The sequence below is a fragment of the Homo sapiens genome, chromosome 5, assembly GCF_000001405.40.
Source record: "Homo sapiens chromosome 5, GRCh38.p14 Primary Assembly".
Lineage (NCBI taxonomy): Eukaryota > Metazoa > Chordata > Mammalia > Primates > Hominidae > Homo > Homo sapiens.
In genome coordinates this window covers 94,106,419-94,131,807 of record NC_000005.10, presented here as the reverse complement: position 1 = coordinate 94,131,807, position 25,389 = coordinate 94,106,419, and the positions used below count along the sequence as shown (strand labels likewise).

Sequence of the window (25,389 nt, the reverse complement as noted above, 5' to 3'; positions counted from 1 at the left end):
GGATGAACGTCATCTCAGTGAAGTCCAACAGGAACCAAGAGGTCAGCACATGGATAGAGGCCTCTTGTCCCAGCTCCATGAGGATATTAAAGTTTCCCCTACAACTAAAACTACCTCAGGAAACAAGAGGTAGAAGAGGGTCAAATGTCAGGTGATACATATTCCTCATTAACAGTTTGGCCATTGTATTAACATTTGGCAGAAATCAATAATTTAAAACTGGAAAAGATTAGCTTCAGTTGATAAAGTTAGGGATTTTTAAAAAATCTGCCATCAGTGCAAATGAGAACTACGGAACAAGATGAAATCAGTTACAAAAAATAAAGTTACTGGTGACTGGGTGTAGTGGTGCACACCTGTAATTCCAGCACTTTCGGAGGCTAAGGTGAGAGGATCACTTGACCCCAGGAGTGCGAGGTTGCAGTGAGCTATGATTGTGCCACTGTACTCCAGTCTGGGAGACAGAGTGAGACCCTGTCTCTAAAAAAAAAATAAAATAAATATAAGAAAATTTTTAAAAAGATAAAGTTACTGCAAACTCAATTGTGTTGTACTGTATACTGTGTTTGGCTCTGTCCTAGTAAGCACAGATACAGCTAAGAATTACATAGGCTCAAGATGTTTTACCTTAGGCAATAACATCTACAAGCTGAATTGGTTATCACTGAAGCCAAATGGGAAAAAAAAAAGGCTTGAGAAGGTTTTTCTTTATGCAGGTAACTGCTGATGTGCCAGGAAGTCTTCAGAATAACAACAGGAATGAAGTCAATGGGTCACTGCAGTTGAACTGGGTCCACAGTGGACCCAGGACTGCAGGGAGGAAAGGCAGAGTTTGCTGACAGTTGCCAGTCAGGAAGCATTTGCTATCTGCAGAGGAGGGTAATCCTTTCTTCAGATGAATTATTATTCCAGGAAACCCAAAATACAAGCCAGATATAAAGGTTAAGAAGGCTATTTACATGGTATAAATTTGCTTTCTTATCAAATATCTGAAGCAGTTCCACAGAACTTTGAAAATCACATAAGGAAGCTTCTGGTTCAAGATGGTCGACTGAACAGAAACAACTGTTTCTGCTGAGCTTGGATGTAGTGTGGCTGGAATCTTTTGCCCCAGGGTAGCATGCTGAGAGTGAGTCCCTATAGAAAGATGCTAATCCACCTGGGAAATGACTTCTGGGAAATCATGTGGGTATTGAGGCCTAAAGCAAAGACTGCCCATTGTACCCTCAACATCCATTCTCATTGTTTTTGTGAAGCACATGGTCACCCAGAATCAATCCCAATTCCCAGTACTTAGTAGCATGGTAGCTAAGTGTGACTGTATATCTAAGTATAGTCATGTACCACATAATGATATTTCAGTCACCAACAAAACATATATACAACAATGGTCCCATAAGATTATAATGCCTTATTTTTACTGAACCCTCTCTATGTTTAGATGTGTTTAGTTACACAAATACCATTGTGTTACAATTACCTACAGTATTCAGTACAGTCACATGCTGCGCAGGCTTGTAGCCTATGAGTAATAGGCTGTACCACATAACCTAGGTGTGTAGTAGACTATACCCTCTAGGTTTGCATAACTATATGATGTTCACACAATGACAAAATTACCTAATTTTGCACTTCTCAGAATTTATCTCCATTGTGAAGCAAGTGACCACTAAGATGTAAACAAAAGTGGTGTTAACAACTTCTGAGAAATTCTTAAAGGAAAATTTTCCTCTTCCTTCTGACTGGAATGTGAGCCTATCGGCTGGAGCTGGAGCAGTCACGCTGGGCCAGATGTTGATGGCACATACTAAGTTTGACAGAACAACAAAAAAGTAGAAATCTGGGCCATTGATGATTGTGGAGCCATAAAACTAGTCTGGAGTACGTACACTCATAAGAAATAACTCCTGTCTTGTTTAAGCTGCTGTTATTTGGAGTGTTCTATTACAAACTGCTAAATTTTAACCTCTTAACAAATACATGATATAAGAGAGAAATGTTGCAGACTACCTTGAGGTTACACAGTGCCTTTGAAAAAGATATAAAGGCGGGAGGCAGATGAGAGGAGGAAAGGTATACCAGGAGTGACACTGTCCTTCCCAAAAATAAAATTATTCTGTTGGACACGGGAGACCATGGCTTGCCTGTCTATTTTCCACCCCTATATCCTAAAGGGAATTGTGACTACTGAAAAGCCTGATCTGCTGACCAAGACCCATGTTCTTTCCTCCTGTTCAGATAACATACCTCCACTTATACAATGACAGGAAGAGTCAGTCATGATTTACTTTGAAATGTATTTTTAAAAAGACAAATTAATGGCTAGAGAGAGGGATGAATAGATAGATGGATAAGTGATAAAGCAAGTATATCATGAAATGTTGACAGTAGCATCTAGGTGATAGAGATACATGTGTTCACTGCACTATTTTTTTAACTTCCTGTATGCTTGTAAATTTTTATAATAAAGTATCAGAAGCAAAAGCATTCTAATTATGAATAAACTAATCAACATACCCATTTTATAAAAATGTGAGCAGAAAACCTAGGATTACTAGACACTTGCAGAAAACCAAGAAAATGAAAGAAAAGTATAATAATAAACAGAATAACCAACTTTGGAGGAAAGAGATAATTCAGGAAACAAAAGAAAAGATAAATTTGTGAAAATATTGCAAACATAAAGTAGCATTCCAGCATGGAAAATAAGCAATCATAAAATAAATATTTCTTGAAAATTAAAATTATAATATCTGAATATTTTTAAACATTCAATGACTAAAAACTAACCTGATTATTTGGAATTTAAATAACATCAGCAGATAAAATCTACTGAGTACCAGGCACCATTCTGAGCTCTTTGTACATTCAAGCCATCTTCATCATTCATGTGGATAAATGTAATAGTCTCCCAATTGTCTCCCTTTTCCTTTACTGACCCCCTACAGTCCATTCTTGGAGCAGCTATATGATCCCTGAAAAATGTAAATCAGATCATGTCTCTCCTCTATTCAAAGCCCCCCAAAAGACCCCATTTCATTCAGAGTAAAAAGTCTTAACAATGACCCACAAGATCTGGTCCTTCCCTTTGACCAATCCCTTTTTCCTCTATGATGAGCTCTTCCACTACTCTCGTCTGCTTTCTATTCTTCAGCTCCACTGGCCTCCTCATAACTCCTTGAATATGTTAGGCACACTCTAGTCTTGGTGTTTTTGCTCTACTTTCCCACCATCAATTAGTTTTGGCTGTTCTAATACTTCATATAAATGAAATGATACAATGTGTACTTTTTTGTGTAAGTCTTCATTCAGCATCATGTTTTGAAATTCACCCATTCTGTTACTTTGTTTTTTTCTATTGCTAAGTGGTATTCTTATTGCAGGAAGGTACCAAAATTTGTGTATGCCCTATTTGTTGGACACCTGGGCTATTTAGAGTTTGGTGTTATTATGAATAAGGCCGCTATGAACATTCTTATACAGTTTGGTTTATCTTTTGGCTTTTTAGCTATATGTCTTTGCATTTTTTAGTGCTTGCTCTAGGTATTAAAACATACATACTCAAATTTTTATAGACTGTATAGGTCCATTTACTACTCACCATACCCTGCATTTTATGATATAGCTTTCATATGTATTCTGTCAAGAGATATAATAAACCCCAATAGACAATGTTTTGTTTTAAACTGTTGTATGTATTTCAAAATAATTGAGAAAAAATAATCTTTAGTATTTACTGAGATATTTTTAATTTTGTATGCCCCTACTTCGTAAAGATCTGAATTTCCATCTGATGTTATTTCCTTTTCCATTAGCATTTCTTGTAGTACAGATATGCTCATGATGAGTTCTGTAATTATTCTTTTACCTGAAAATGTTTATTTCCTTATTCTTGAAGGATATTTTATCAGACACAGAATTCTGGATAGCCTTTTTTTTCCAGCACTTTAAAGATGGTCCACTCTCTTCTGGCCTTCACTGTTTCTGATGAAAAGATAGTGATCGTCTGTATCACTGTTCCTGTATGTGAATGTGTCATTTTATTCTGGCTGCTTTCAAGATTTTCTCTTTGTTGTTGCTTCTGAGAAGTTTGCTATGATGTGCATAGGTATAATATTTTTTGGTTTATCCCTAAATTCACTGATTCTTTCCTCTGCAATCTCCTCTCTGCTGTTAATCCCATCCAGTGGATTTTTTTCAATATCAGATATTTTAACAGAATTTCCATTTGGTTTTCTTTATTATAGTTTTTATGTCTCAGCAGATTTACTCTATTTTTATTCAGTATGAACATACTTTTCTTTAAGTCACTGAGCATAGTTATAATAACTCTTTAAAGTCCTGACTGATGATACAAACTTTGGATTATCTTGTGGTCAGTCTTCACTCTTTGTCTTTTCTCTTGAGAATGAGTAACGGTGTAGAGGGTCTCCAAGACTACCCTGACATTCAGGGATTAGATAGAAGGACTCTCAGGACTCATCACGTAGTTCTATTTACTGCTGATTTATTACAGCAATGTAGTGTAGCATGTGTGGGTGTGTGTGTGTGTGTGTGTGTGTGTCTGTGTGTTTAAGAAGAAGGCTCATTATAAGAACATGGTGTCTTAAAAGCTATTTGACCATATTCAACATCTAATATATTGTTGCAATAAATACTGGGAGGTGGAATAAGTTTCTGAAGATATTTGGGAATAATCAGATTGCCAAAAATACAGATATTAAAGTTTACAAGGGGATTAGAATAAAGAAGAGTAATGGTAATTTTGTAATTATGGAAGTTTGTGGAGAACTAGGAGTAGGTAAGCTCAGACTTGCGACACACAATGAAGGGACACATTAATAATATCAGAAGAAAAGAAGTACCCAGAAGGGATTGAAAAATTACTGTCTTGATATTCCAATTATCCAATGGTATAAAAATACCATTCCAATCTTGAAAACATGATATTTACATAATTATTTCATGTAATGTTTTGAATTTTAGTTTCTTTCATATATATACATGGATGTAACTCATATATTGAATGTGCAGCACTTGAATGGGGGACTAGCTATATAGAAAGCCTAATTGTTTTGCTACAAGGACACTCCAAACTTGCTTTGTCAGATATTTTTCCCTATCCCAGAATTAAACCTTAGGTACGCATTAATGCTTTTGTGGTCACATTAGGCTGTCTTGGAATGTTTCATTTTCAGTTATTTAAAAGTTTAGGCCGGGTGCGGTGGCTCACGCCTGTAATCCCAGCACTTTGGGAGGCCGAGGCGGGCGGATCACGAGGTCAGGAGATCGAGACCATCCCGGCTAAAACGGTGAAACCCCGTCTCTACTAAAAATACAAAAAATTAGCCGGGCGTAGTGGCAGGCGCCTGTAGTCCCAGCTACTTGGGAGGCTGAGGCAGGAGAATGGCGTGAACCCGGGAGGCGGAGCTTGCAGTGAGCCGAGATCCCGCCACTGCACTCCAGCCTGGGCGACAGAGCGAGACAAAAAAAACAAACAAACAAACAAAAAAAAACAAAAAAGTTTAATATGATCTAAATCACGTGAACTGTTTTCTAGTCACTACCAGCGTCAGTCCATTCCTTCCTTCTTTCCCTCCTTTCTTTTCTATTTCTTTCTTTTCTCTCTCCCTTCTATCCTCTCTCTCTGCTTTTTCCTTCCCTCTCCCTCCCTGTGTCTCTCTTTCTTCTACTCTTTTATGCCTTGTATAATTTAAATGAGCATTTTATATCATTCCAGTTTCAATTCTCTCTTAGCATGAAAATTAGACCTTTTTTTAAGCTTTTTATAGTGGCGGCCCTAGAATTTGCAATATACATTCACGATTAATCCAAGTCCACTTTTAAATAAAACCGTATTGTTTCATAGTAGTGTAAATACCTTATAAAAGTATTTCAAATTCCCCTCTCCCATCACTTTTAACATTGCTGTGATTAATTTTACTTAACAATAAGCTATAATCCAAATACACTGTTGCTATTATTATTATTTTGAATAGACTGTTATCTGTTAGAATAAGAATAAGAAAAATAAAAGATTTTACCTTTTCTTCATTTGTTCTTCTCTAACTCCCTTTTTCCACGTAGATATGAGTTTCTGACTTGTATCTTTCCATTTCTCTGAAAAATTTCTTTTAACATTTCTTGCAAGGTAGGTCTTCTGGTGACAAATTTCCTCAATTATTTTTTTGTCTGAGAATGTCTTTATTTTTCCACTTTTAAAGGATAATTTCACTGGATACAGAACTCTAGGTTGGTAGATTTTTCTTTTAAAACTTTAAATATTTCACTCTGCCCTCTTCTTGCACGGTTTCTGAAGATAAATTCAATGTAATTCTTATGCTTTTTCCTCCATAGGTAAGGTGAGTTTCCTTCCTCTGGCTTCTTTCAAAAATATTTTTGTCTTTGATTTCCTGAACTTTGAATATGATATGCCCATGTCTACATTTTTTGGTATTTATCCTGTTTGGTGTGTTCTGCAATTCCTGGATTTGTAGGTTTGTATCTGTCATTAACTTTGGAAAATTCTCAGCCATTATTAATTCAAATAGTTTCTCTGTTACTTTTTCAGTTTCTTCTCCTTTTGGTATTCCTATTATGCATAGGTTACACTTTTTTTGTTTGTTTGTTTTGTTTTGTTTTTGAGTCAGGGTCTCACACTGTGGCCTGGGCTGGAGTGCAATGGTGCGATCTCAGCTCACTGCAACCTCCACCTCTGGGGTTCAAGTGCCTGCCTTGGCCTCCCAAAGTGCTGTGATTACAGGCATGAGCTACAGCACCTGGCCACACTTTTCGTATTAATAATTGTCCCATAATTCTTTGATATTCTGTTCCATCTTTTTAATTCTTTTTTCTCTTTGCATTTGAGTTTCAGAAATTTCTATTGACATAGCTTCAAACTCAGAGATTATTCTCTTGGCTGTGTCCAGTCTACTTATGAGCCTATCAAAAGCATTCTTCATTTCTGTTACTGTGTTTTTTTTATCTCTAGCATGTCTTTTTTATGATTTCTTAGTTTCCATCCCTCTTCTTCAAGGGCAGACAATTCCCTACTGTCTTTGCATGTTGTCCACCTCCCCCCTCCTACTTTGAAGGTTAGAAAGAGCTGGAATTGAGTATTTCTGTTCCTCTATGTTGGTAAGCCTCTGATAAGCCCCCAGTCAGGCTCTGATAAAATAGTTTCCCTTAAGGGCATACCTTGTCAAGAAAAACAGAGAGCTCTGGGCATATTTTTAAATAGTTATTTTTCCCTCCCACCATCAGTGACTATTCTCTGATCCTTATAGTGGGAACCTGTTAGGGTGCTTAGAGAGAAAACTCACAAACACTAGATGCCTTAGAGTTTTTAACTCTGAAGCTAGTTCACTGTGAGCCTCCAGTAATTTGTCAATTACAGTTTAAAGGGTCCCTACAGATGGTCGTTCAATTTCCTGGCTTTTGCTTCTAGTAAGCTGTGGCTCTCTGTATCTACCTGATGTAGTTTGAATATTTGTCCCCGTCCAAATCTCATGTTGAATTGTAATTCCCAATGCTGGAGGTGGGTCCTTTTGGAACCAGTTTGGATCATGGGGGTGGATCCCTCATGGCTTGGTGCTTTGTGATAGTAAGTTCTTGCGAGATCTGGTCATTTAAAACTATGTGGCATCTCCCCCTCCCCTTGCTTGCTGCTGCTTTTGCCATGTGATATGCCTGCTCCCTCTTTGCCGTCCACCATGACTGTAAGCTTCCTGAAGCCTCCCTCAAAGCTGAGCAGATGCTGGCACCATGATTCCGATAAAGCCTGCCGAACCATGAACCAATTAAACCTCTCTCTTAAAAAAATAAATAAATAAACTACCCAGTCTCAGTTATTTCTTTATAGCAATGCAAGAATGCCCTAATACAGAAAATGGGTACTGAGGAGTCCAGGGAATTGCCATAAAGATACCTGAAATGTGGTAGCAACTTTGGAACTGAGTAATGAGCAGAGGTTGGAAGAATTTGGAAGGCTCAAAAGAAGACAGAAAGATGAGGGAAAGTTTAATACTTTTTAGAGACAGGTTAAATGGTTGTGACCAAAATGCTGACAGTGATATGGACAGTGAAGTCTAGGCTAGCAAGGTCTCAGATGGAAATGAGGAACTTATTGGGAACTGCAGCAAAGGTCACATGTGTTATAACTTAGCAAAGAGCTTGGAGGCATTGTGTTCATGCCTAGGGATCAGTGGAGGTTTGAACTAAAGAGTGATAATTTAGGGTATCTGGCAGAAGAAATTTCTAAGTAGCAATGCGTTTAACAAGAGGTGTGGCTGCTTTTAATAGCCTAGCTCAGATGTGAAAGCAAAGAAATAAGTTGGAACTTATATTTAAAAGAGAAGCAGAGCATAAGATTTTGAAAAATTTGCAGCCTGGCCATGTGGCAGAGAAAGGAAAAGCTTTTTCAGGAGAGGAATTCAAGCAGGCTGTTGAGCAACAACTTGCTAGATATATTTGTATTACTAAAAGGAAGCCAAGTGCTAACATCAAAGACAATGGAGAAAAGGCCTTGAAGGCATGTCAGAGACCTCCCTGGCAGCCCCATTTATCACAGGCCCTGAGGCCTATGAGAACCTAATGTTTTCATGGGCCAGGGCCCCGCTGCCCTGCACAGCCTTGGGACACCTTTACCTGCATCTCAGCCACTCCTGCTCCAGCCTCAGCTCAAAAGGACCTAGGTACAGCTCTAGCTGCCACTTTGGAGAATGCAAGCCATAAGCCTTGCTGGCTTCCATGTGGTGTTAAGCTTATAGATGCACAGAATGCAAGAGTGAAGTACACTTGGCAGCTTCCACCTACATTTCAGATGTATGAGAAAGCCTGGGTGCCCAGGCAGAAGCCTGCTTCTGGAGCAGAGCCCTCACAGAGAACCTCTACTAGAGCAGTGCCAAGGAGTAATATGGGGTTGGAGCTCCCACACAGAGTCCCTAAGCGGGGACTGCCTAATAAAGCTGTGAGAAAGGGGTCATCCTCTTCCAGACCCCAGAATGGTAGATCCACTGTCAGCTTGCACCTTGCACCTGGATAAACTGCAGGCATTCAACTCCAAACCATGAGAGCAGCCCTGGGGGCTGAACCCGGCAAAGCCACAGGGGTGGAGCTGCCCAAGACTTGGGAGCCCATCCGTTGTACTCTAGATGCAAAACATGGAGTCAAAGAAAACTATTTTGGAACTTTAAGATTTAATGACTGCCTGCTGGGTTTGAACTTGCATGGGGCCTATAGCCCCTTTCTTTGGGCTGATTTCTCCCTTTTGGAGTGGGAATGTTACCCAATACCTATACCTCCATTGTATCTTGGAAGTAACTCACTTGTTTTTTATTTTGCAGGCTCATAGGTGGGAGGGATTTGCCTTGTCTCAGATGAGACTTGAGACTTTTTTGTGGGGGGTGGGGTAGCTGGAGTGCAGTGGCATGATCTCAGCTCACTGTAACCTCTGCTTCCAGGCTTCAAGTGATTCTCCTGCCTTAGCCTCCCAAGTAGCTGAGATCACGGGTGTACACCACCATACTCAGCTAATTTTTGTATTTTTAGTAGAGATGGGTTTTCACCATGTTGGCCAGGCTTGTCTTGAACTCCTGACCTCAAGTGATACACCTGCCTTGGCCTCTCAATATACTGGGATTACAGGCACGAGCCACCACGCCTGCCAAGACTTGAGACTTTTGAGTTAATGTTGAAATGAGTTAAGATTTTGGGGGCACTGTTGGGAAGGCATGATTGTATTCTGCAAAGTAAGAAGGACATGAGATCTGGGAGGGGCCGGGGCAGAATGATATAGTTTGGATATTTGCCCCTGCCCTTACTTCATGTTGAATTATAATCTGCAATCCTGGGGGTAGGACTTTGTGGGAGATGTTTGGATCATGGGGGCAGATCCTTCATCGCTTGGTGCTGTCCTTGTGACAGTGAGTTCTCATGACATCTGGTCATTTAATAGTGTGTTATCACCTTCCACCACCACTCTCTATTGCTCCTGCTTTTGCCATGTGATGTGCCTGCTCCCCATTTCACCATCGGCCATGATTGTAAACTTCCTGAAGCCTCTCTAGAAGTCAATTAGATGCTAGCACTATGCTTCCTGTAAAGCCTGCAGAACCATGAGCCGATTAACCCTCTTTTCTTTATACATTACCGAGTCTCAGGTATTTCTTTATAGCAATGCAAGAATGGTCTAATATACCACTGGTCTGTCTAGTTTTGAGGGCAGAAGTTTGCCTTGTGACATTAATTCTCTGACAGATCTAAGAATACTTGTTGATTTTCAGTTTGCTCAGCTTTTGTCTTGTGAAGATGAGCGTGACAAACTTCCAAGCTCCAGGCTCTTTACGTGAGCTGGATTGGAAACTTCCAATTACTTTAAAGTGTCCCTTTCCCAGCATAGGTCTGACCCACAAGTATGCTGGAAAGAAGGGGACATCATCTCTCTTTTCTTTTCTCTCTTTCTTTCTTTCTTTTTTTTTTTTTTTTTTGAGATAGGGTTTCCCTCTGTTGCACAAGCTGGGGTGCAGTGGCACAATCAGGGCTCACTGCAGCCTTGTGCTCCAGGGCCCAAACGATCCTCCCATCTCAGCCTCTCAAGTAGCTGGGACCATAGGCATGTGCCACCATATCCAGCTAATAATTTTTTTGATTTTTTTTTTTTTAATTTTTGTAGAGACTCTATGTTGCCCAGGCTGATCTTGAACTCCTGGGCTCAAGTGATGCTCCCGCCTTGGCCTCCCAAAGTGCTGGGATAACAGGTGTAAGCCACTGGGCCTGGCCCATGATTTGTTTTGTCTCAGTTCCTCTACCTTTTACTTCCCCTTGTCCTACACTAATCCTATTACTTTGAGGTCCTTTGGGGTCGGCTCAGAGGTGGGAGAAAAAGGCTATTATAAATTGGAATTGTTGTCCTCTCTGTAGCAAATGCCCAAATACCGGTGCTGTCATTAGGCACTTTAGTATAATTTTGGAGATTCATCCAAAATTCAGGAACTCTAACACTGACATTCTCTAGTACATGGGGTGAATGTCCCAGTCAGCATCTCACAATTCCCATGGATCTCCTCTTCTGGTGGCTTACTTCACACAACCTCATTCTGCTGGCTGGTTTGCTTCTTCTTTCTTTCTACTAGATTTGATTCTCTCCTTTTTCAAAAATAATTATACTTCAGTGTTGTGGGTTGAATTTTATCTTCCACAAAAGATATGGTGAAGTCTTTCCTAACCTCAACTACCTCCGAATGTGTCCTTATTTGGAACTAATGTCATCACAGAGGTAATCAAGTTAAAATAACGTCATTAAGGTTAGACTGAATCCAATATGACTTGTGTTCCTATAAAAGGGAAAACTTTTGATGCAGAGACAAGCACACAGGGAAAATGCCAAGTGAAGATAAAGGCAGAAATCTGGGTGACGCATCTACAATCCAAAGAACACCAAAGATAGCCAGCAAACTACCAGAAGCTAGGAGGAAAGCACGGAACAGATTCTCTCTCACAGTCCTCAGAAGGAACCAGCCCTGCCATGACCTTGATCTTGGACTTCTAGTCTTCAGAACTATGAAAAAATGAATTTATGTTGTGTAAGCCACCCAGTCTGAAATACTTTGTTATGGTAGGCCTAGAAAACGAATACACCCATCCATGTATGATCATGTCCACTAGCTGTTGGGAAGACATGACAGTTCTTATCTCCTTACTCTCTCATCAAAGGTACCCTCAGTAATTCTCTCGTCTTTAAATATTTTTAGGAAAGAGCCAGGTACTTGACTTTGAGACTGCCATTTATGAAACTCCAAGGTTATTGGCCAAGTGCTTTCTCCATCCCTTCAAAACAGTCTTTTACCATCTGCTGACTCAGTGGAGGTATGAGGTAGTGAAGGGCCAGATCATGCAGGACTTTATAGGCTTATAGAAATGGTTTTGGATTGTATTCTATTTGAGTGAGGAAACTTATTAAAGATTTTGATCAGGGAAGCAACAAGTTCTGGTATGAATTTTTAGAAGATATCCACAGCTGCCAATTGGAGACTAGATTGTAGGGAGGCAAAAACAGAAGCATGCAGAACAATCAATTACAGCATCTATTGTGGACTAGAATAGTTGTAGTAGAGATGCTGGGAATTGGATAGATTTAGGTTACCTTTTGAAGACAGGCAACAGATTTTCCTGAGGAATTGTGTGTGAAATACGAGAGATAAAGAATCAAAGGACAACCTGAACAATTGTAAGAATCAATGTGTCATTTAGTGAGATGAAGAGGTATGCAATAGGAGTAGCTTTTGGAGGTAGAAAATAAGAAGTTTGAAATGTATGTTGAATATTTTAATAGATATGTTGAATAAGAAGTTAGATATATGAATATGAAAATCAAAGAAATCGGGGCTGGATATGGATATTTGGAAGCCATCAGCATCGTGATGCCATATAATAGTGAAGGGAGTGGATGGGATAAACTCAGGAATAAAGGCAGATAAAGAAGGGAACACATCTCAGGCACATTAACATCTAGAGGTCAGGAAAAATTCAGCAAAGGAAAATCAAAGAGCTCCATAATTTCACAAAAGTCAAATGCAGAAAGTGTTTCAAGTTTTAAGAAAGAGGATGTTAAATCGTGTTAAGTGCTGCTGAATGGTTACAATAAAGACCGAGTTGCCCACTGGATTTATCAGAATTGTTTAAATTCTCAGATATCTGCACACAAACTCTTCTTTAGCTCTAACATTTAAACTATTTCAGAAGTTTCACATTTGAGTGTGCATAAGAAGTAAAGATCTAGAGTATAAGCATAACTTCATATATTCTGTACTTTGTGGGCCGTTTAGGGGATTTTCATGGTTTTTTTTTATCATTAGGGAGTTTTATCATAAAGGCTTAGTTTAGAAACAAATCTCTGTTAGGGATGCAGCTACAGCTTTCCACAGCTGTTTCCAACCTATCCAATTACTATTCAAGAGATCAGAAAAAGGTCAGGGTCAGAGAGCCTATCCTTTACATATTTCCTCTTTGTTGTCTTATCTTTACATAGCTCACAAGAAAGCTCACACTATTTTATTCTCTCTTTTCATAAAGGAATGGTGAGAAGAAATTTAAAAGAGAGACACTAAGTAGAAAATGGAAAGGTTCTCTAGGACTAAACTGAAGAAGACTGGTCTCTGTACTACTTAAAACTAATCACCTATTCCTGATGATTTCACTAGTATGACAGAGACTTAATTACCATTTCTCTTCCTTTGCCTACCACCTCTCATCCAAATAAAACTTATATAGGAGTCCATGTGAAATATTGTATAGTAAAGAATTGGGCCTTTCCTAAAGAGAGTTCTGGCCTGTGGCCTCAGATTCTGGGAAATAACCTATCATAGCTGGCAAAAGTGTTTTTGTTTAGGAAGACTGACTATGTCCAACAGTTTTAGGGTAGAGGCTCCCCAAGCTAGAAAGACCAACCACATGACTTAGAGGCTTTGGGTCATGTATCATCTGACCTGAAGACTGAGTTCCATATGGACAATGGATCAGTGATGCCTCCACAATGGAGCCCCTCAAAAATTCTGAATGTTGAAGCTCTCGTGAGCTTCCCTAACTATTCCCATTTAGGAAAATAAGTGCAGCTCACTGCCAGTGCTCATTTAATTTTACATAAACATGCTCTTTGAGGCTGAAGCAAGTCTGATTGATTTTCTATGTGAAAAATAAAATATGAAAACTGTTCTTGGAGTTATTTCTAAACGGAACTAACATCAGAATAGTCTGAATCATCAGAATGATCTCTTTCAGAAAAATCAGATTCATCAATTGAATCTTCAGCCAACAACTGTTTGAGAATGATGTTAACATCACATGTAGGAATGCTTCATTTTCTAGGATTTGACATTTTCAGCAATACAGAATTACTATATTTGCAAATGGAAATGCCACTACTAAAATTTGAATGCTATAAATAGAATGTCTTTTGTTTCAAAAGTTGATATACTAGAGTGATATGAAAATAATAATAAAAGCAAGATACTTCATGGCAAATGCATTAGTCCATTTTCACACTGCTGATAAAGACATACCAAGGACTGGGCAATTTACAAAAGTAAGAGGCTTAATGGACTTATGGTTCCACATGGCTGGGGAGGCCTCACAATCATGGTGGAAGGTGAAAGGCACATCTCACATGGCAGCAGAAAAAGAAGAGAACTTGTGCAGGGAAACTCTCCTTTTTAGAACCATCAGATCTCATGAGACTTATTCACTATCATGGTGACAGCAGGGAAAGACCTGCCCTCATGATTCTGTTACCTCCCACTGGGTCCCTCCCATAACACATGGGAATTCAAGATGAGATGTGGGTGTGGACACAGCCAAACCACGTCATTCTGCCTCTGGCCCCCTCCCAAATCTCATGTCCTCCTATTTCAAAACCAAGCCAATGGTCCCCCAAAGTCTTCACTAATTTTAGCATTAACTCAAAAGTCCACAGTCCAAAGTCTCATCCAAGATAAGGCAAGTGCCTTCAGTTTATGAGCCTGTAAACCTAAAAGTAAGTTAGTTTCTTTCTAGATACAATGGGGTACAGACATTGGGTAAATACAGCCATTCCTAATGGGAGAAATTGGCCAAAACAAAGGGGTTACAGGGCCCATGCAAGTCCAAAATCCAGCAGTCAAATCTTAAAGCTCCAAAATGATCTCCTTTGACTCCGTGTCTCACATCCAGACTATGATGATGCAAGAGGTGGGTTCCCATGGTCTTGGGCAGTTCAGTCCCTGTGGCTTTGCAGAGTACAGTCTCCCTCCTGGCTGCTTTCATGGACTGGTGGTGAGTGTTTGCAGCTTTTCCAGGCACACGGTGCAAGCTGTCAGTGGATCTACCATTCCGGAGTCTGAAGACAGTGGCTCTCTTCTCAAAGCTCCCCTCTGCAGTGCCCCAGTAGGGACTCTGTGTGGGGGCTCTGACCCCATACTTGCCTTCCACACTGCCCTAGCAGAGGTTCTCCCAGAGGGCCCCACCCCTGTAGCAAACTTCTGCCTGGGCATCCAGGCATTTCCTTTCATCCTCTGAAATCTAGGTGGAGGTTCCCAAACCTCAGTTCTTGATATCTGTGCATCCACAGGCTTAAAATCATGTGGAAGCTGCCAAGGCTTGGGGGCTTCTACCTTCTGAAGCAAAAGCCCATGCTGCACCTTGATCCTTTTTAGTTATGGCTGGAGTGGCTGGGATGCAGGGCACCAAGTCCCTAGACTGCACACAGCAGAGGGACCCTGGGCCCCGCCCACGAAACCATTTTTTCCTCCTAAACCTCTGGGCCTGTGGTGGGAGGGGCTGCCACAAAGGTCTGTGACATGCCCTGGAGACATTTTCCCCATTGTCTTGGTGATTAACATTCATCTCCTCATTAGTTATGCAAATTTCTGCAGCCAGCTTGAATTTCTCCTCAAAAAATGGGATTTTCTTTTCTACATTGTCAGGCTACAGAATTTCCAAACTTTTATGCTCTGTTTCCCTTTTAAACTGAATGCTTTTAACAGCATCCAAGTCACCTCTTGAATGCTTTGCTGCTTAGAAATTTCTTCTGCCAGATACCCTAAATCATGTCTCTCAAATTCAAAGTTCGACAAATCTCTAGGGCAGGGGCAAAACGCTACCAGTTTCTTTGCTAAAACATAACAAGAGTCACCTTTGCTCCAGTTCCCAACAAGTTCCTCATCTCCATCTGAGATCACCTCAGCCTGGGTTTCATTGTTTATATCATTATCAGCATTTTGGTCAAAGCCATTCAACAAGTCTCTAGGGAGTTCCAAACTTTCCCACATTTTCCTGTCTTCTTCAGAGCCCTCCAAACAGATCCAACATACTCAAGACTGGGCAATTTACAAAAGAAAGAGGTTTAATGGGCTTACAATTCCACATGGCTGGGGAGGCCTCACAATCATGGCAGAAGTTGAAAGGTACATCTCACATGGCAGCAGACAAGAGAAGAGAACTTGTGCAGGGAAACTTCCATTTTAAAACTATCTGATCTTGTGAGACTTATTCACTATTACAAGAACAGCAGGGAAAGACCTGCCCCCATGATTCAATTACCTCCCATGGGTCCTTCCCACAACACATGGGAATTCAACATGAGATTTGGGGGGGGGACACATCAAACAATATCAGCAAAGTAATCTCAAGGTAAATGCTGCAGCTGCAAGTGCCACTCGTGAGTATTCTTAGGGCAAACAGGAAAAGGGTTACTGGCAATTCTATATTGCATATTGTCATGGATGGATTTTGGGAGGGTAACATGTCTTGACTCCACTGGGAAAGTACAGCAAATAATGGAAGAGTATAGCAAAAGCGCTGTGTTTGGTACCCTTTTGGACTCTGCCTTACGTGTTTCTTCCCTTGGCTGATGTTAGTCTGTATTCTTTCCTTGTAATAAATGGTAACTGTAAAGATAACAGCTTTCAGTGAGTTCTGTGAGACCTTCTAGCAAAATTTCAAACCTGAGGGTGTTTCTGGGAACCCTCCAAACTTGCAGTTGGTGTCAGAAATCAGGGACACCTTAGAGACTGTGCCCTCAAACCTCACAGGTTGTCTAACTCTAGGTAAATATATCAACCTACAAATTGTCTCCATCACAAACTAGAGGCTATTTTATGTTTTTTTGTTCGAAATTCTCTTAAAGTATGTTTTGAACACTGATATGTTATCTTTTCTCATTTTAAAAAAATTCCAGGCATAATGAAAAGGGTGTTCTTGGGTCTAACTCAGTTTTGTGTCCCCAGCATCTAGATGGAAAGTACAAGTGATAGGGGGTTGATTTCAAGTAATAATCATTTTGTTGGAGGGGTCATTAGAAATTATTTGGTTATATGATCCTACTTTTTGGGCTTTAAATATAAACTGAATCTAGAAGGCAGAACTTGTTGTAATTACTATCCACACTTCACACATACTGTCTTAGTCCATTTTCTGCTGCTGTAAGAATACCACACACTGGGTAATTTATAAACAAAGAGATTCATTTGGCTTACAGTTCTGGAGGCTGGGGAAGTCCAAGATCCAGAGGCTGCATCTTGTGAAGGTCATCTTGTGGCAGAAAGCATCACAGGGGGAGAGAGGGTGAGACAGAGTAGTGAGAGTGCACAAGACAGAGAGAAAATGGGGACCAAATTTATCCTTTTATCAGGAGCTCACTCCCATGATAACTAACCCACTCCCACAATAATGGCATTCATCCTTTTATGAGGGCACAGTCCCTATCACCTAAATCACCTCTTTAAAGCTTCACTTCTTAATATTATTACAATGGCAATTATGTTTCCAATGCATGAATTTTTAGAGAACACATTCAAACCACAGCACATTCCTGCTTGGGCTTGAGCAAGGGCAGGAATGTTACTTGATTCTCCAAATTTAAGTCAGAATCCAGACCTCATTCTAATACAGTTGGTTAGTTTGGACAGAGCTTTGCCCTTAGCATCTAATTAAGAATATTTTCCTTAATGGATTTTCTTGAGCTGCCAAAATGTTGGCACTGAGTCCTAGTCATGATAAGTAGGTTTAAATTTTATTTTTAACTTAAATGAACAACATGTAGCCTTGTTAGTATTTTTGGAGGTGTCTGTCTGCTGTATGTCACTGAAATCATTTAATGTGAAGGGTGGGAGTAGATTGATAAAAAGATAGATGCCCAAGGAAGTGGTCTGGAATAGGAGGAGGATACGCAAAATATGGTATAGGGACATTTCTTTGATCATCCTAGTGATCAAAGATGGACCAGCTGTTAGCCAGGAGGGAACAAATCTCCTTTCCTTTTTCCTTATCTTAGTAGGATTTTGAAGTGCAAGAGAAGAGAGGTGGGGAGAGAAACTGAAGTTTCTGGCTTCCCTAGAGATGTATAAATTAAAATTATAAACTAACTTGTACAGTTTAGATGACTATGGTTAAAATGAGGGGACATTTTTGTACTATATTGTGTAGTCATCATTGTAATGGTTTCTGCTAAGCTACACATGGGCTGTTGTAATTCTAACAAAACATCTAAGCCCACATACAATTTTTGTTGCTTTCCCTCCTTTCTCCTCACAGATTTGCAGAAGATATTTTTGTGGTCAGCTGAGGCAGGAGTTTACCATTTAGGGTAGAGTAAGGAGAGAAAAGGACTCACTCTGTTTCAGCACATAACCTCTTCATTCTTGATTTTGACATCTTAGGCAGGATTGGACTTGAAAGGATATTTACTCTTTGGCTGTTGTCATACAGCTATTAGTTTCTTTTGCTGAAAAACAAATCACTCCAAAATTTACTGGCTTAAAGTAACAAGAATCATTTTCATTATCTCTAATTGTTTCTGTGGGTCAGGAATTCAGAACTGGGCACAGTGGGGATGGCTCGTCTCTGCTTTATGAAATTTTGGACCCCAGCTGACTCAATGACAGGAACAATCTGAAGGCTCATTCATTCCCATGTAAGTCCAGCTGGAATTGCAGGCTGAAGCACCCATATGTTTGTTCAATAGTTTACTACTGAACAAAGTACATTCCCCTAACCCTTGAGTGGGCCTCTATCCTGGAAATATTGAAAGGTCATGTCACTCATCTTTTGACCAATCTCCATATTTTATGTAAACATTGGTATATTCTCTTAATGGAATGTTACTTTTTTATTCAATTTTCACTAGTTTTCTCACTTACGTTCTATTTCTATTTCAGGATCCAACATTAAAGTTGGTCTCTTTAGGCTCCTCTTGGCTCAGACAGTTTCTCAGACTTTCCTTGTTTTTCATGACTTTAACTGTTTGGAGTAGTACTGGTCAGGTATTTTGTCTGATGTTTTTCTCATGGTTAAACTGGGATTATACATTTTTGGGAGCCTTATCTTTTTAATATAATCTGTCACTGTTGCAAAAGTCCACCAAAATAAAAATGTTTCCCTCCTCTGTTCAACAATCCTTCAGCTTCCCCAATTGTCTGCAGCAGAAAATCAAATTACTCAGCATGACATAGAAAGCTTTTCAGAATCTGGCTGTTGCCTTCCTCTTCAGTATAAAGTGTCACTCTACAAACCATTTGAGTTCTTTCCGGAAATGAAGCCCTAACAGTCTTGCAATGCCCGAGATTCATTCAGGTACTCAGTTCTGGCTAACTCCAGTGGATTCTCTCACCTTTTACTGCTCCTTATCTCCCGCCACTTACTTACACCACTTTCTTCTTGTCCTATACACTTTTCTAGATTTCCCCAATCTATTATTTACCACTGTGATCATTCAGTCATTCAATAAGTATTTATTGTCTACTTTGTGGACAGGCACTGTTGTATGGTTGAGGATACATTAAAAAGACAAGATTATGTCACTACCATCAGTGAGTTTACATTTTAGGGGGCAGGGTACATTTGCAAAGTACAAACAGTGTGGAAGTGAAGTATACCTTAGAGAGTCTGAGATCTCCTCTCTGAAGAACATAACTGTTGGTTTACTTGTCAGCCACCAGACTTTCCTTCTCTTTAGCTGCCTCAGAGGAGAGGGTATCTAACTCAGCTTTGTTACCCCAGCGTCTAGTTTAGCCTAATTCATTAAATTAACAGTTTTGGACTAAATAAATGCTCTGAGAGTACTATCTAAAAATTAAAAATCAGTTGCTTCCATCCCTTTCCCCAGATTTATCCTTGAAATACCTTTCAAACCTGTTTCTGGAAAAAACATTAATATCCGTAAGATTCCCATTTGAGTCAAGTATGATAACGAGAAAACTTTTGTCATTAGGATGCTAATATTAACTTCCTATTTTACATGTCCTAATTCAAAGGTAAATTTAATCTTCCGAATCTAGACCTCCCGGTTTTTCTGGAGTTGAATGGACAGGGTAAAGTCTGACACACTCTGAGTAGCGGAGTGGGGAACTGGCTGTAAGGACATCCTTAGAATAGTTAAAATTCCGCTGGGAAAACGAGGCTTTAGAGTGGCCTCGTCCTCTACGGCTACCCAGGCAGCCTTCACAAGGAAGGGCGACCAGAGTCCGCCAGTGCATAAGAGAACTACACTTAATTCACGCGGGCCTCTTTCTCCAGTCCACCTAATACCACAGGAACCTACCCAGGGCCCGCGCCCCGCCCGTTTCCGGGTTGTCGCCGCCGCTGCCGTCAAGTGCGTAATGACGTATCAATCTCCTGAAGACCCCGGAAGTGCAACTCGAACTTGGTCGGGGCGCGGATCCCGAGAGGGAAAGTCATAACAACCGCACGAGGGAGTTCGACTGGCGAACTGGAAGGCCACGCCTCCTCCCGCCTGCCCCCTCAGCCCTGTGGCTGGGGGCAGAGCTCAGGTAGGACTGCCGTTTGCGGGGATGTGAGCTCCGGGGGCAGGCCCGGGTCGAAATCAGGAGGGGGCTGGCCTGGGTCGGTCTCAGGCGGTGGTCGCTGGCCCTGGGGACCGAGGCTGTCTGGAACCACGCTGCATTCCCTGCGGACACCTCTGACTTGTGTCTGGGCCTCCGCTGATGGGCAGGTCCCATGTTCCATTTCCACTCTCTAGGCGGGAGCGACGTGTGTGTTCCCTGGATGACTTTCCTTATGTCGGGGCGTACGGGATTCTGGGAGTCCCTGGAGACAGAGTAATGGGCCCTCCTCCGCTTTCTTGCGAGTGGAGGTATTGTGGTTGTTGTATTAATTTTTTTTTCTACAAAAAGTATTATTAACTGCCAGCGCTTTACCAGAAGTCATTCACTGCAGAGGGATTAAAGTGCAGTTATAAAATGCTCTCAAAACTTGTAACATGCATGGGCGCGGGTGGGACGTTTCTCTGGGATGCAGTATGAATTAAGTGTTGAATACTTTTGACTTTGAAATAAAGTAAGTATGTTTTGGAAGCAGTCTTCTCTTTCCCTCATCCAGGTGTTTAACATATTCTTATAGTGCTCCAGGGTCTATATCTGTTGGGCCAAGAAACTCGTTGTGTTTGGATATACTGTATTTAATGACATGCAATGTTGTTGCATTTGTCCATTTCTCCCAAATCCTCAAAAAAGCTGTAGAGGGAAAAATTCTCTGGTTTTTATCTACAAGTGCATTGTATATTTATCAAAATATCAGTGCGATTTTTTAATGTAGTACATGACATCGTTTGCATTAACGCATGCCATATACTGCATAACAAATATCTCATTGATAAGGTGTATTCTTTATCCTACAATGCGAGGGACGGTTACACTGTATACATTTAGCGAATGTAGAAACTGAGTAAGAGAGTATTTTTGGATCTGCTTCGTTAAGGCCTCAGTGACAGTGCTGGTACCAGGCTTCTTTCAGAATTTTCAACTAGGCCTTACTTCCACTTAACCAGTGAATCCTACGCTGAAAAGTTAAGGATGCTCTGGATGCTTTCAGGCTATGGCTGCTCCATATGGTAGAATAAATAGTACCAAGGCCAAGAGGGAAATATTATCTATGAAACCATGAGCATCCACTTGTTTATCCATTTAGCAAGTATTTACTGGCAACCTTCAGTGTGCCGGATAGTGTTCAGGTGATGGGAAGACAGCAGTAAACAAAATAGAAAGTCCTTTTGCTCCTGGAACTTACATTCTAGTGGATGGAGACGTATAATTAACAAGTAAATATATAACAAGTAGTGATTAAGAGGTATAGAGAAAGGCAGGGCGCGGTGGCTCACGCCTGTAATCCTAGCATTTTGGGAGGCCGAGGCGGACGGATTGCCTGATCCCTGGAGTTTGAGACCAGCCTGGGCAACACGGTGAACCCCGTCTCTACTAAAATACAAAAAAATTAGCTGGGTGTGGTGGCGTGCGCCTGTATTCCCAGCTACTCTGGAGGCTGAGGCAGGAGAATTGCTTGAACCGGGAAGGCGGAGGTTGCAGTGAGCCGACATCATGCCACTGCACTCCAGCCTGGGTGACAGATCGAGACTCCGTCTCCAGAAAAAAAAAAAAAAAAAAAAAGAGGTATAGAGAAAAATAAATTAAGGGGAGAGAGAATGATAGAGGATGCTATTTTAGATAGGGTGGTAAGCTCACCCTCTCTGATAAGGGAACACTTGAGTGGAGATCTGAATGAAATGAGGGAGTGAGCTCCGCAAGTATGGAGGAATGAGTTGGCCTAGTACAAAGGCACTGAGACAGGAGCGTGTTTGATATATTTGGAATAGCAAGGATGTAGGCATGGAGGTAGCAGTACTTAACAATCTCAAGAATGAATATTTATTCCTTGATTTGGTGGCATGAGGGATTTTATTTATTTACAGTTTATTTTTTTCAGCTTTCCCAGACAAACCTCTGAGGAGAATCTGGTGTCTGTAGATATGTAGAGATGTTTCTGTGCTCTTCATTGAGCTCTAACAAAAGTAAGCACTATTTACTCAGTTGTATACAACTTGTACTGTCTCTGTTTTTAGAGTCAGATTGGGTTTGCACAGTAGTCATTGGTAACTAAGTATGGAGTATGTCCCTGTACTATGCCAACTTTATTTTTCACTCAGAAGTTTTTCATCATCCCCAACTGAAACTTCATACCTATTAAACACTCACACCTCGTTTTCTGTTACCTTCAGCCCCTGACAACTGCCAATTTACTTTCTGCCTCTATGAATTTGACTACTCTAGGTACCTCATATAAGTGGAATCATGCACTATTTGACCTTTTGTGACTGGCTTATTTCACTTAGTATAATGTCTCCAACGTTCGTCCATGTTGTAGCGTGTGTCAGAATGTTCTTTTTAAGGTGAAATACAATTATCCATTGTGTGCATATGCTGTTAATACATTTTGTTTATCCATTCATTCATCCATGGATGCTTGGGTTGTTTCCATCCTTTGGTTATTGTGAATAATGCTGCTATGAACATGAGAGTGCAAATATCTGTTCAACTCTCTGCTTTCATTTCTTTTCGATATCTCTCCAGAAGGGAAATTGCTAGATCACATGGAAATTTTATATGTATATATATCTATATGTATACTTTTTTTCGAGGAATTGACACACTCTTTTCCACAGCAGCCACCTCATTTTACATTCCCACCAGCAATGCAAAGGAGTCCAATTTCTCCACATCCTCACCAACATTTTGCCACATCCTCACCATTTCTCCACATCCTTGCCAAACACATTTTTTGTTTTTTTGATAATAGCGATCCTGATGGGTGTAAAGTAGTATCTCTCTGTGGTTTTAATTTGCACTTCCCTAATGATTGGTGATGTTAAGCATCTTTTCATGTCCTTTTTGACCACTGGTATATATTTTTGGAGTTCTATGAATTTATTTTAAGATATGATTTAATAAAAATTTTTGGAGATTTATTTGGTGGAGTTTTTAAGGGTTAAGAAGGCAGCCACCATGACTTTTATTGCATTTTAACTCTTTAATCCTGTAATTGTAAAAACTCTCAACTTGTCTGTTGACCAGGTATCTGTAGTAACTCCAAACTTAGAAATTAAAAAAAAAAATACACCATCTTCTATAATAATAAATGAACCTTTTGGTTCAAATTGCCATGAAAACAGTTCAGAAAGCCAAAGACTATCCTGGCCTGTTTTGATTTTTTTTTCTTTTTAATTAGAAGAAAAGGAGTATATTAAATGGCTGACTGTGCCTGTGTAGTAGATGTCGTTTGTTTTGTAGCTGAGAAGAGCGGGGACCAGAAGAGCCAAACAGGATGAAGAAACAGAAAAGACGTGTTCTGGTTCTTGCTGAGAAGAGCAGGTACCAGAAGAGCCAAAAAATGATGAAGAAACAGAAAAGATGTGTTAGATATCAGTGTAGCAGTTTGATTTCACTAGATGGAGAGTGGCAAAGATCAGTAATAGTGATGGATCATGAGCCCCAGAACTGACAGCAGAGGAGAGGGGACCCAGAATCAAAGTGAAAAAAAGTAATATAGAGCTATGCTCTACAGATTGGCATGGGATGGAGGGTAGAATGAGGGAGTGCAAATCACCAGCTTCATCTCAGTATGTGGTTCGGAATTGAGACAGTTGGCCCTGAGTAATCCAGTAAGATCTACTGTATATCAAATAATGTATGTTAGTCCATACAGCTCAACAGTGAGTGTTTGGAAGGTGTGCACTGTATACAGTTCTATAGGAGTAAGCGAAGTTGTTCAGATCATGTGCCACATAATTTCTATTCATAATGAGTTCAACTGAGTAATTTGAGTGTATAATTTAACAATGTCCAAAACTGTAAAAAATTTTTAAAATATAATCTGTTAAGAAGGAAGGGCATTTTTAATAATCCAGAATGTCCAATTGCCTATAAGTTCAAGGTAACAACGTCTTTTTTTTTTTTTTTTTAACTATTGAATGTTTTGTACACTGTCATAATTTATTAGATACTCTTGGGGGTGCTACGTTGAGCTATTTCAGTTATAAAGCTCATTTAAATCAATTACTTTGCTTTAGTTTAATGAATGAAAAATTGTATGACAATTTTACTTGTAACTCCTTGGCAAATTAAAATTGATTAATTTACTGCAGATGAGATGGCAGATGACTGACTCAAGGTTTCACAGCTAAGTTACAGAGAAATTAGAGACAGAAGTGCTATGCTGCTTTCTCTAATATTGTTTGTTGTCTCCATTTGGAGGAAATGATCTCTTTTGTAATATACGTAATTGAGATAATTTTTGCTTCAGAGAAAATAACACTGTGAAGACCATCAAAGCAAAGCATTTCTTCATATCAGATTATTTATGTTTTACTTGGAAATTGCTAAAGGAGTAGTTTTTATTTCATTTTTAAACTTTTATTCCTTTCCAACTTTTATTTTAGTTCAGGGGGTACATGTGCAGTGACCCGATAGGTAGTTTTTCAATTCTCATCCTCTTCCCAACCTCCACCCTGAAGTAGACCCCATTGTGTATTGTTTCCTTCTTTCTCCATGTATACTTAATGTTTAGCTTTCATGTATAAGTGAGAACATGTGGTATTTGTTTTTTTTTTTTTTTTTTTTTTCTGCATTGATTCACATAGGATAATGTGAAGCTCCATCCATGTTGCTGTAAAGGACATGATTTTATTCTTTTTTATGGCTGTGTGGTGTTCCGTGGTGTATATGTGCCACATTTTCTTTGTTCAGTCCACTGTTGATGGGTATGTAGGTTGATTCCATGTCTTTGCTTTTTTGAATAGTGCTGCGATGGACATATGAGTACATGTTGTCTTTTTATTAGAATGATTTATATTCCTTTGGGTAGGTACCCAGGAATGGGATTGCTGAGTTGAATGGCAGTTCTTTCTGTTTTAGGTTCTTTAGAAATTTCCAAACTGCTTTCCACAGTGGCTGAAATTTACATTCCCCCCACCACTGTATAAGCATTCAGTTTTCTCCACAACCTCATCAGCAGCTGTTATTTTTTGACTTTTTAACAATAGCCCTTCCAACTGTTGTGAGATGGTTCTTATTT

The 25,389-nt window shown here is 39.9% G+C and overlaps 1 protein-coding gene and 1 long non-coding RNA gene across 36 annotated transcripts in view; one reads left to right on the top strand and one right to left on the bottom strand.

Moving 5' to 3' along the window:
- The window catches only part of LOC105379087 (uncharacterized), a 140,268-nt gene extending 120,052 nt beyond the window's left edge, over window positions 1-20,216 (bottom strand). For 2 of the 5 annotated variants that reach the window (XR_948581.3, XR_948580.3), the window contains exons 1-3: window positions 19,404-20,096; window positions 18,143-18,253; window positions 17,007-17,061 (exon numbers count right to left, since the gene is read on the bottom strand). This is a non-coding gene — a long non-coding RNA (uncharacterized LOC105379087). Of the gene's footprint in view, window positions 1-2,857; window positions 2,976-17,006; window positions 17,062-18,142; window positions 18,254-19,403 lie in introns of those variants that run through there. The other 3 variants (XR_001742441.2, XR_948582.2, XR_001742443.2) reach the window with 3 other exon arrangements.
- The window catches only part of ARB2A (ARB2 cotranscriptional regulator A), a 493,975-nt gene continuing 488,694 nt past the window's right edge, over window positions 20,109-25,389 (top strand). For 25 of the 31 annotated variants that reach the window (NR_028080.1, XR_007058646.1, NM_001163418.1 and 22 more), the window contains exon 1: window positions 20,109-20,297. The gene's annotated coding sequence lies outside the window, so the exon portion shown is untranslated. Of the gene's footprint in view, window positions 20,621-25,389 lie in introns of all 31 variants that reach the window. The other 6 variants (XM_006714717.4, XM_047417811.1, XM_047417822.1 and 3 more) reach the window with 4 other exon arrangements.